Here is a 12,318-nt window from a genome sequence, read left to right as displayed (position 1 = left end):
ACTTTTCCCCATTCAGTATTATGTTGGCTGTGGATTGTCATAGATGGCTTTTATTACATTCAGGTATGTCCCTTGTATGCCAATTTTGCTGAAAGTTTTAATCATAGAGCGATGCTGGATTTTGTCAAATGCTTTTTCTGCATCTATTGTGATAATCATGTGATTTTTGTTTTTAATTCTGTTTATGTGATGTATCATATTTATTGACTTGCATATGTTAAACAATCCCTGCATCCCTGGTATGAAACTCACTTAATCATGGTGGGTTATCTTTTTGATATGTTGTTGGATTTGATTAGCTAGTATTTTGTTAAGGATTTTAGCATCTATGTTCATCAAGGATATTGGTCTGTAGTTTTCATTTTTGGTTATGTCCTTCCCTGGCTTTGGTATTAGGGTGACACTGGCTTCATAGAATGAATTAGGAAGGGTTCCTTCTTTCTCTTTCTTGTGGAATAGTGTCAAAAGGATTGGTACCAATTCTTCTTTGAATGTCTCATAGAATTCTGCTGTGAATATGTCTGGTCCTGGACTTTTTTTTTTTTTTTGTCGGTAATTTTTAAATTACCATTTCAATCTCGCTGCTTGCTATTGGTCTGTTCAGGGTATCTAATTCTTCCCGATTTAAGCCAGGAGGGTTGTATTTTTCCAGGAATTTATCCATCTCTTCTAGGTTTTCTAGTTTATGTGTGTAAAGGCGTTCATAGTAGCCTTGAATGATCTTTTGTATTTCAGTGCTGTCAGCTGTAATATCTCCTGTTTCATTTCTTAGTGAGATTATTTGGATTTTCTCTCTTCTTTTCTTGTTTAATCTTGCTAATGGTCTATCAATTTTATCTTTTCAAAGAACCAGGTTTTTGTTTAATTTATCTTTTGTATTTTTTTGTCTCAATTTCCTTTAGTTCTGCTCTGATCTTGGTTATTTCCTTTCTTCTGCTGGGTTTAGGTTTGGTTTGTTCTTGTTTCTCTAGTTCCTTGAGGTGTGACCTTAGGATGTCAGTCTGTGCTCTTTCAGTCTTTTTGATGTAGGTGTTTAGGGCTATGAACTTTTCTCTTAGTACTGTCTTTTCTGTATCTCAGAGGTTTTGGTAGGTTGTGTCATTACTGTCATTCAGTTTGAAGAATTTTTTAATTTCCATCTGGATTTTGTTTTTGACTGAATGGTCATTCAGGAGCAAGTTATTTAATTTCCATGTATTTGCATGGTTTTGAAGGTTCCTTTTTGAGTTGATTTTTAGTTTTATTCCACTGTGGTCTGAGGGAGTGCCTGATATAATTTCAATTTTCTTAAATTTATTGAGGCTCATTTTATGGCCTATCACATGGTCTATCTTAGAGAAAGTTCCATGCACTGTTGAATAGAATGTGTATTCTGTGGTTGTTGGATTAAATGTTCTGTATATACCTGTTAAGTCCATTTGTTCCAAGGTATAGTTTAATTCCATGGTTTCTTTGTTGACCTTCTATCTTGATAACCTGTCTAGTGCTGTCAGTGGAGTACTGAAGTCCCCCACTGTTATTGTGTTGCTGTCTATCTCATTTCTTAGGTCTATTAGTAATTGTTTTGTAAATTTGGGAGCTCCAGTGTTAGGTGCATATACTTTTAGGATTGTGATATTTTCCTCTTGGACAAGGCCTTTTACCATTATATAATGTCCCTCTTTGTGTTTTTTAACTGCTGTTGCTTTAAAGTTTGTTTTGTCTGATATAAGAATAGCTACCTCTGCTCACTTTTGGTGTCCATTTGCATGAAGTGCCTTTTTCCACCTCTGTACTTTAAGTTTATGTGTGTCCTTATGTGTTAGGTGAGTCTCCTGAAGGCAGCAGATAGTTGGTTGGTGAGTTCTTATCCATTCTGCAGTTCTGTATCTTTTAAGTGGAGCATTTAGGTTATTTAGGGTATTTACATTCAATGTTAGTATTGAAATGTGAGGTACCGTTGCATACATTGTGCTCTTTGTTGCCAGTGGAATTTTTTTTTTTTTGCTTTTTTAACTTGTATTTTTGTTTTATAGGTCTTGTGTGATTCATGCTTTAAAGAGGTTCCGTTTTGATGTGTTTCCAGGATTTGTTTCAAGATTTAGAGCTCCTTTTAGCAGTTCTTGCAGTGGTGGCTTGGTAACAGTGAATTCTCTCATTTGTTTGTCTGAAAAAGACTGTATCTTTCCTTCATATATGATGCTTAGTTTCACTGGATACAAAATTCTGGGCTGATAACTGTTTTGCTTGAGGAGGCTGAAGATAGGGCCCCAATCCCTTCTAGCTTGCAGGGTTTCTGCTGAGAAATCTGCTGCTAATCTGATAGGTTTTCCTCCATAGGTTACCTGGTGCTTCTGTCTCACAGCTCCTAAGATTCTTTCCTTTGTCTTAACTTTGGATAACCTGATGACAATGTGCCTAGGTGATGATCTTTTTGTGATGAATTTCACGGGTGTTCTTTGTGCTTCTTGTATTTGGATGTCTATGTCTCTAGCAAGGCTGGGGAAGTTTTCCTCAATTATTCCCCCAAATATGTTTTCCAAGCTTTTAGAATTGTCTTCTTCCTCAGGAATACCGATTATTCTTAGGTTTGGTCGTTTAACATAATCCCAGACTTCTTGGAGGCTTTGTTCATATTTTCTTATTCTGTTTTCTTTGTCTTTGTTGGATTGGGTTAATTTGAAGACCTTGTCTTCAAGCTCTGAATTTCTTTCTTCCACTTGTTCAATTCTATTGCTGAGACTTTCCAGAGCATTTCACATTTCTAAAAGTGTGCCCAAAGTTTCCTGAATTTTTTATTGTTTTTTTCTTTAAGCTACCTATTTCCTTGAATATTTCTCCCTTCACTTCTTGTATCATTTTTTGGATTTCCTGCTTCGCCTTTCTCTGGTGCCTCCCTGATTACCTTAATAACTAACCTCCTGAATTCTTTTTCAGGTAAATCAGGGATTTCTTCTTGATTTGAATCCATTGCTGGTGAACTAGCATGATTTTTGGGGGGTGTTAAAGAGCCTTGTTTTGTCATATTACCAGGGTTGGTTTTCTGGTTCCTTCTCATTTGGGTAGGCTCTGTCAGAAGGGAAGGTCTAGGGCTGAAGGCTGTTGTTCAGATTCTTTTTGTCCCATGGGGTATTCCCTTGTTGTAGTACTCTCCCCCGTTTCCTATGGGTGTGGCTTCCTGTGAGCCAAACTGCTGTGATTGTTGTCTCTCTTCTGGGTCTAGCCACCCAGTGAATCTACCCAACTCCAGGCTGGTACTGGGGGTCATCTGCACAGAGTCCTGTGATGTGAACTGCCTATGGGTCTCTCAGCCATGGATACCAGCACCTGTTCAAGTGGAGGTGGTGGTGGTGTGGGGGTGCAATAGCTCCATGAAGGTTCTTAGCTTTGGTGGTTTAATGTTCTATTTTTGTGCTGGTTGGCCTCCTGCTGGGAGGTGGCACTTTCCAGAGAGCATCAGCTGTGCTAGTATGGAGAGGAAATGGTGCTGGGCAGGGCCCTAGAACTCCCAAGATTACATGCCCCTTTGTCTTCAGCTACCAGTGTGGGTAGGGAAGGACCATCAGGTGGGGGCAGGGCTAGGCGTATCTGAGCCCAGACTCTCCTTGGGTGGGTCTTGCTGTGGCTGCTGTGGGGGATGGGGGTGAGATTCCCAGGTCACTGGAGTTGTGTACCTAGGAGGATTATGGCTGCCTCTGCCGAGTCATGCAGGTTGTCAGGGAAGTGGAGGAAAGCCGGCAGTTACAGGCCCCACCAAGCTCCCACACAAACCGAAGGGCCAGTCTCACTCCTACCGTGCACCCCCCAACAGCCCTGAGTCTGTTTCCAGGCGGTGAGTGAGATGGGCTTGAAAACATGCCCCAGGCTACCCACCTCCCAGCTGCAAAATAAAAGGGATTGATTCTTCCCCTGCCTGTGGAGTCTGCACACTGGATTTGCACCCTCCCCTGAGTTCTGGCCAGGAGGCTTCTTGCCCCATTCAAATTGTTATGAAGTTCAGCTGGAGATTTCCTTCTGTCTGTGGAGTTTTACCCCATGCTCCTCTGGCCACCCTCCCAATGAATCCCTGTGGTGCCAGGTAGGAATGGGCTGTCTGGGGACCCAGCGAGCTCCCAGGGCCTTTCTGCTGCTTCCTCTACCCCTGTATTTGGCTTGGCTCTCCAAACTTGGACTCAGCTCCAGGTAAGGTAGGAAACTTCTCCCACAAACAGACCTTCAGTTTCTCCAGTGGGGGTGTGTGTTCGGGAGAGGAGGGTCTCCCTTTCCCACTTTTGCAGTTGGGACACTCACAGTATTTGGGGTGTTTCCTGGGTCCTGCAGGAGCATCTGCTTCCTTCAGAGGGTCTGTGGGTCCTCTTGAGATTGCTGGTTTGTTCTTGCAGTCAATCTGAATCTTAAATTTACAAGCCACTGCACGCTGCTCTGTCTGGAGCTGCAATCTAGTCCTGCCTCCCGTCCACCATGATAATCCCTCCCCAACTGGCTTCTTTTCAATAATATGTCATGGTGCTGATCATGCATCAAATGGCACCAGCACCTGTTTTCCTGTCTGTGTTCCTCATATATACACTTTTATTATTAAGTAGATGTAAGAATCCATTTAAAATAGATTTAGCTTTGGGGAGAAATTCTGTGTTGATTCTGCCCACACAAAGGTGCATGTACCCACACAAACAGTTCCTTCTAGAAATGCAAAAACAATATAGCAATGATACTAATGATCAAGATATTTTATAAAGGAAATCACCCAAATCCCATCACCCTAACACAGCTTTTTTCATTTACGCATTTACTATGAGTTTTTGTAAGTTGCAAGATCACAGTGTAAATACAATGGAGCCTCTTCCTTTTCAAAACCTGTTCCATGTATTCCTCAGACTGCTGCAGGTTTCAGAATGAGCATATTAAATGTTCTGATAATATGCCATGGAATGGATATGCCATAATTTAATTAGCCACCCATTATTGTTGGGCAATTCATTTGTTCCCAGTGTTATATTACTACAGCCAATTTCATAATGAACATCTTCATGCATGTATCTTCTCAATTCTGTTGAACTGCTTCCTGAGGAATAAAATCTCAGGAAGAAGAATTATTGAGTTAAAGGTCAGGAACAGTTCTAGGGCTCTTGCTTCAGTTGACTGGGCTGCCTTCCACAGGTGTGGGTCCCTTTCTAAAATGTGCATACCCTCAGCACTAGCCAGCTTTCCCCTTTAGCCCCCCAAACCTGTCCCACTCACTCTTGATGTCTTAGTTACTGCCTGTTGTGTGGGGATCAACTTCTATTTGCTCTCTGCGTGCTCTGCACCATGGTTTCAAAACAATGTAAACCTGTTTTGGGAAACACACTCAGCTGAAGTGGAATAGCCTCTCAGCTCCAACAGCTGAGAGTCCACAGTAATTATCTTTGGGGGATGCCAGGCTTGGGAAGTAAGGAGCAGATGCGTTTGTTTCTCCAAGCCCACACTGCAGAGAACTTTCCCCTACACTCTTGACAAGTGAACCACAATGCTCTGACACAGTCAGCCTTATACTGACTACCAGCTCCCCTCAACACCCACTATGTGGCAGGCCCTACTACAAATCAGATATGGCTCTTGCCCTCAAAGAGCCCACAAACTCTGGTAAAGACAAACAAATAAAGAACTAAGAGATGCAATGTGGTGTCACGAGCAAGTGCATTGTAACTAGTCTGACCTGGATTGGGACTTCAGCCTTGCCATCTTCTTGCTGTATGGACTTCAGCAAGTTTATATATATTTATATATATATATATATTTGGTCTTGGTTTCATTCTCTACAAATTAGGAATAATGGAATAATATTAATACCAGCTTCCCTCCAGTTGTTATGATACAGTAAACAGAACCCTAGTATTCTTGCCTGGGGGATCAGGAAATGATTTTCTGTCCCCCACCCCCACCCCAGGGAGAATGTGCTGGAAAGCTCCAAATGGCATGAGGATTGGGTCTCTCTCACCAGTCCCAGGACAGGAAGGCCTATTGGTGAACCGCAGTGAGCAGCCCTGAAGTGGCTGGAGAGTACAGGACCTCAGTGACTTGGGGCTGCCTGCAAAACCATTCGCAAAAGTTCCACTGTCTCTGCCTACATTATTTCTACCAGGAGGGGAAAGTAACGTGGCTCAGCTGACTATTCTTTCCCAAGTGCTAAACTGGCTTCCTTGATTAGAAAAACACAGCCTTAGGCCGATGGCCTTGCCAGCAATCAGTGCTAATGCAAGACCCAGCTGAGGAATACAGCGGACCAGGCTCCATGCCCAGTGCCACGAAGCTTCTGCCTTGTCCAGGACATGGTCCAGAGATAGAAAATGCTGATTTTCTAGCAGAGCTACTAAGAGTCAACATTTACAAGTGCCAGCGATGGCTTTCATGCAACGAAAGGCACAAGAGTGGGGCAGCTCTCTTCTTGTCACACCCCAGAGTCCCTGGGTAAACTTTCCCAGAGGAACTGTCAAATGATAATGGCCATGAATGGACATGTCCAGCAGTACAGACAGCCACATGGGTCACAGAAGTACCCATCACTACTGTAGTTAGCACACTCTGCCCATCAAGATTTGTACTCATTTCTTTCTGGGAACAATCTGCTCTCTTACCATGGCTAGGAATCTACTGTCCACATCTAAAATAGGCGCACTTTCCATTCAATTTATCCATTTCTTATTACACCCCCTGTTCAATAACCATTGTCTGAGTATCTACTGTGGTAGATGTAAACCTGAGTCAGACACCATCCTCTTGCCTCAAATAATAACTTAAGCAGAATCACCACTGGTCACAGCAATGCAGTCCTGGGTAATGATCCACTCCAGCATTTCCCAAAGTATGTTCCACAAACATTGGTTCCTCAAGATTCTAATAGATGCTCAGCTCCAAAAGGATTCTGTGGTGACAAAAGTTTAAGGAAACTTGAGTGGAGGAAAGTTAGCAAGCCTTCTTGATTGCCAGGCTTGCCAGAGCCTGTGACATGTCAAGGTGCTCTGTCACTCTCCAATAGGAGCTAGAGAATGCATTCTCCAAACACATTTTACTCCAGACCCATGTGGAAAAAGCATTTCATATGGCCAGCAGTCCAGACAACACATTTTGGGAAATACAGAACTCTTCCAATCCCCTTATTTTTTAGATAAGGAGATTGAAGCCCAGAGAAGGAAAGGGATTTGCCTGAGCTCACCCAAGAGGTCTGAGGCAGGGTCACACTAATTCAGCTGTAGCACATTCAGAAGGGATGTCTCTAATCTGTTTTTCACATTGGGAAGCCATTAGAGGGTTTTCAGCAGTGGGGATGATGCAATTGAATTAGCATTTTAGGTAAATCGCTTCAGCTGATGTGTAGAGGAGACTCTAGAGGGATGACAGTGAGGGGACAATGAAGAGTAATCCAGGTGACAGATAATAAAGACCTAAATTTGTGCAGTAGCAGGAGGGTAGGTGAGGTAAAGATACATTCCAGAAATAATTAGGAGGTAAACTGGCAGAACCTGATGGCAGATTAGGTGGGTGAGTGGAAGGAGTTAAGGGTGATGCTGAGAAATCTGGCCTGGGTGACTGGGTAGATGCCAGTGCCATGCAGTGGAGAAGCTGTTTGGATGGAGTTTTTAAGTAGGTTGAAGACTTCCATTTCAGTGGCTGTGGAATGATCAGTGTAGATATCCAAGTAGCATTTGGCTTTATGGGGGGAAGGTTTTGGTAAGAGACCAAGATCAGGGAGATAACTGCATATTGATGAAAGTTAAAGCACAAGAATGAGAGAAATAGTCCAGGGAGAACCTGTAGAGGAAGTAGAAGCAATAGACCAAGGCTCAGAAACTTGGAGAACTCAGTTCTGGCCTCCAAAGAGCTCGCCATCTAAAACCTTAATCTTCCTCCAGAGTTCCCTTCAAAGCACCTCCTCCAGGAAAGGAATGCTGCCCTAAGAGATATATGAGGTGTTGGGTCAATTTGGAGGACAGAGAATTCATATGTGATGGCATAATTAAATGTCTTCTGTTAGCACACCAGATTCTTTTTTTTTCACTGCTTCAATGGTCGTTTTTTATTAAAATTCAAAATACATGATAAGAAATTAGACTTTTATCAATACACAAATAATTTTACTTAAAATCAACCCAGTTACATATTTTTAAAAAATTGCAGAACCTCTGCACACCAATGTCCACAACCTAGAATAGGTTCATGTGAAACCTGCAGTTCTACCCCGGAGCATCAATAAGTGATGGTCCAGGTACTCACTGACATGTTTCTCTTGACACCGAGAGGGTCGCAAACAAAACACCACTCTTGCCTGGATGAAGCAAGAGTTACATAAAAGAGCTTTATAAAATGACTATGAAGGAGAATTGGTAATATCAGAAGAGCTCCAGCACTTCAATTGAATATAATCCTCTGTTATTCTTTTCTTGATTTAATTTCTGTAGCTCCCAAAAACTTACTTCAATCTTGTTGAGCTTGGAATAAACAGATATCTGAGATTTTACAAGCTTGTAAAGATTTATCAGTGGCCTCTTTGCTTCTGGCATCATTGCTACAACAGTAAAATTTGCATCCAGAAGTAGACATATCCAATCCATAATCTGGTTCAAGGTAGGTGGGTGTATTCCAGGAAGAGTCATAGTAGCATTTTCGCTACACTTCAGATAAAGGAAACACAAACACTTGAGAAACAGTGTGATATGCTGTGCTGGGATGTTTTTCAAATGAGGCAGAAGAAATGTTTCGCTATATGCTGAATGAAGAATTGCATTAAGTAGAGCTGCTCTTTTTGGTATCACAGAGCATGAAATGGTCTCCTTTGTCTTGTCCTGGGGCTTTTTATTTAACTCTTGATCACAGTTACTGTATTTATCTTCTTCAGGATTGAAGCCATTTTGAAGAATTCCAGTTTGCTCTTCCATTTTCTCATCATGTACAGAATTACTATAGTCAAAAACTGACTCCATACTGACATCTGTTTCTTGAATACTGTCATCACCAATTCTCAAGAAAATTTGTAAGCAAGCACAGGTGACCGATTCAGGAATGTCAGGGAACTGCTGTAGACAGAGTTGTAACAACTGTACATCTTTCTTTTTTAAGGCAATCTCCATTAAGTCAGGGCACAAACTGTAAGAAAGCACATGCATTTGGATAAGGTGCATCAGACAGTTCCGGGGATAAAATGATGGTTCTGCTTTACACCTTTCCAGAAGTCCTGTTACTGTGTCCCCAGTGACAGTATGAAAGTCAGGGGTCTGCTTCAGAGCCAAAAATTTCCATACTTCTACTTCAGTATGTTTCTCTGAATCTTTCATTATGGTTGACAAAAGTTGTTTGGATGGTGATACCTCTGGCTGTAAACTCACTTCAATTTTTCGTCTCCTTAAAATTCTTCTTGACTGCTCTGAGTTCTGGGACCCAAGTCCACATCCTTGAGGTGTTTCCCAGTTTACAAAATGGGGCACGACATGAGTTCCTGGATCTTGACTATGCTTGAGTTTTCCATGAGCACCTGCTAATGATGACACTTCACAGTTGTATGGAATCACAGAGATTTTCCACGTAGCATAAACACATTTTCCCCATAATACCAGAGTTGACCACTGGTCCCTTGTGGTAACTCTTTTGAAGTCTGTAGTGTTTGAAATTTTATGTTCCATACAGAGAGGCATTCCTTAGAAGCTGCTAGTGGACTTCCTAGGACTGTGACGTGATCCTGATCCAGCGCAGTGAGTGCAACTCCATTTCAAGTGTTACCAGACACAACAGCCTTGAGCAACAGTGATCTAACTAAGCTCTGATTTTTTTCTGGGTCAGTTGGACGTATTGGCATCAAGGTTTCATATATACAACCATCAGAGCTTAATGACGTCAAAGAGATGAATTTCTGATCTACCAATGCAGTAAAACTCTCTATAAAATAGTTTTTGTCTTGTCCAACTAAGAGTGTATATTTGGTTAAGATACGTGAGTTAAACATTTGCACATAAGCAAAGTGATTTCCATGTTTTTCAGTAATAAAAATTAAAACAGGATGTCTGAATACTATGAAAAACTTTGTCCATTTAATCACTTCATCAGAGATAACAGCTTCAATTTTCTGCTGGGGGCCTGCAAGCGAGGCCTCTAAACCACGAACACCTTCCTTGAAGAGCACCAAGGGTTCTGACCCTTGCACTGAAAGTTTCCTATATACTTCAACTGACAATGTAGCTTTAAATACTTTATCCAGGTTTACATCTTCATTATTCCAGATTCTTAAAATCTTATTATTGTGTACAACAATATACTCTCCAGTTTGAAAGTTGCACACAGCTGGACATGTTACAATTTGACCCTGTTTCACTGACCAGCTCCCCAAGGGTTTCTGATCAGAAACCTTATAGAGGATCACGGTTCTGCCACTGTCTGTCACTAGAAACTGGTCTGTTTTGTCACTCTGCTTCATGCCTAGGAGTCCTTCAGGCCCCGCGCTCAGGACTACTGAAGACAACGTGAATTCTTCCTCCAGCACTGCCATTTTGAGCAAACTTAGCACACTGGATTCTGAAGAGGTGCTGAGAAAGCTTGTAGGAAGATGCAGTTTTCCTCAGATGGATGTGTGTGTTTGTCCCTTTCACCTTGGAGTCTAGTTATGTGTACATGTCTTATCCCCTCAGTAGGCAGCGCACTTGCTCCTGAAGAGAAAGGAGTCCTAAATTCTCAGAAGTCCCCATGGAACCCGCAGAGTACCTGGCGTGTAGTACTCAATACAGATTTGCTGAACACATGAATGAGGGTGAAGATGGGGAAGGGTCTCTGGCCAAAGAAATAGTATGAGCAATGTCCCACAAGTAGGGAACTACAGGAAATGCAGAATGATTGAGTGTGGCCCATGCATAGACTACATGAGTGATGGAGAAAGAGGAAACATAGAAGACTGGCAAGATGGACTGGGACCAGGTGTTGTGGCCTTGAACACCAAACTGTAGGATCTGATTACCTTCAAGTGCTACAGAAAGCTGGACAGGTGCTGTAACTGTGGTGGGTCCGAGCAGAGGTGAGCTTCCCCTCAGAGGCTCTTTTTTGCTTCCCCTACCTCCTGTCAGGGAAGCAGTGATGAGGGCTCTGTCAGCTCCTCCCTGCTTTCTCTTGCTGGATGCTGCCTGCAGTGTCCAAAAAAGTCACCATAAGCAAAGTCACTGTCATTTGCGGGAGCCAACCGCCCATTCCATTTCATTGCTTCTGTATCCAAGAGGAAAAGAGGTAGGTCTAAAGCCTGAGATACCATGGACCCTCAGGAAAGCTATGAGAAGGGAGTCCACAGCCCTGCCTCATTAGTTCATATACAAAGGTGTAAGTTTTTCACTTCACTTCCTCCTGTGGCTTCTGAATGCTGGGGTTCAAGTCAGATATTCTCAGCATTCATTGCCCTGGAGATGGTCTTTTTAATATCCCAGGCATCTGTGACCTTCCACTACTGCATGTCCAAATTCTCTCCAGTCTGAAAAATTTAGTGACAATGTTTCCTCTTACAGGAAGCCTGTCTTGCAGAGCCCTTCAGCTCAAAGTGACTGTTTCCTCAGAATGTCTGTATTACTGCAGCTGCAGTCCTCAACCTTATTGCCTGGATACACATTTTATATCCTGCCCTTTTCCCACACAAAAATAGTTAAGGTCCATAGTAAGGGGTATGATTGAATTATCTGGAGACAGGATGTTCGAGTGGACAGACCATGCACACTACAATCAGGCAAACCTAGATATCAACACCAGCTCTACCACTTCCTGGCTTCATTACCTTAGACAAGTTCCTTAACTGTCTCAGAGACTCAGTTTTCTCATCTGTACATGGCAGAATATAATAGGATGCTGGCACAGTTGCTGCAATTATTAGCTGAGAAAAAAGCAAAGCATCAGTAATAATACCTGGCAGGTTTTTGGCACTCAAAAATAATTCCTTCCTCTCCTTTGCCTTCAATATTCTTCACAGGGCCTAGCATACAGTTTTCATTCATTGATCCAGCCAATTATTAATTAAAACATTACTGGGGAAAGATAGTATGTACATTGACATAAAAATTAAATACTTAGGAATAAATCTACCGAAGAGATCTATTCAAATGGAAAGATTTACAATGTTCACGAATAGGAAGAGTCACTATTATAAAGATGTCAGTAGTTTCCACACTGATTTATTAATTCAATGACATATCCTGAGAGTTGTGTGTGTATGTGTGCAACTTAACAAGCTGCTTCTAAAATATATATGTGAAAAGTCAAGTATAGCTAAAGTATTCTTGAAGGAAGAAAAAGGGGGGAAACTTGCTCTACTAGATATCAAGATTTATTATAAAGCTATAG

The 12,318-nt window shown here is 42.0% G+C and overlaps 1 pseudogene, besides 1 other annotated feature; it reads right to left on the bottom strand.

The window, feature by feature from the left end:
- Positions 3,230 to 3,729: an enhancer, noted in NCBI's record as "H3K4me1 hESC enhancer chrX:149289377-149289876 (GRCh37/hg19 assembly coordinates)". NCBI's record gives its function as "activates a minimal SCP1, AML or CMV promoter by ChIP-STARR-seq in primed H9 embryonic stem cells {active_cell/tissue: H9 hESC(primed)}" and the evidence as "EXISTENCE:reporter gene assay evidence [ECO:0000049][PMID:30033119]".
- NOL11P1 (NOL11 pseudogene 1) lies at positions 8,054 to 10,509 on the bottom strand (annotated as a pseudogene).

This window comes from Homo sapiens, chromosome X, assembly GCF_000001405.40.
Source record: "Homo sapiens chromosome X, GRCh38.p14 Primary Assembly".
In the NCBI taxonomy this organism is placed as follows: Eukaryota; Metazoa; Chordata; class Mammalia; order Primates; family Hominidae; genus Homo; species Homo sapiens.
Note: the sequence above shows the minus strand (reverse complement) of the source record. Positions and strands in the feature narration are given on the sequence as shown.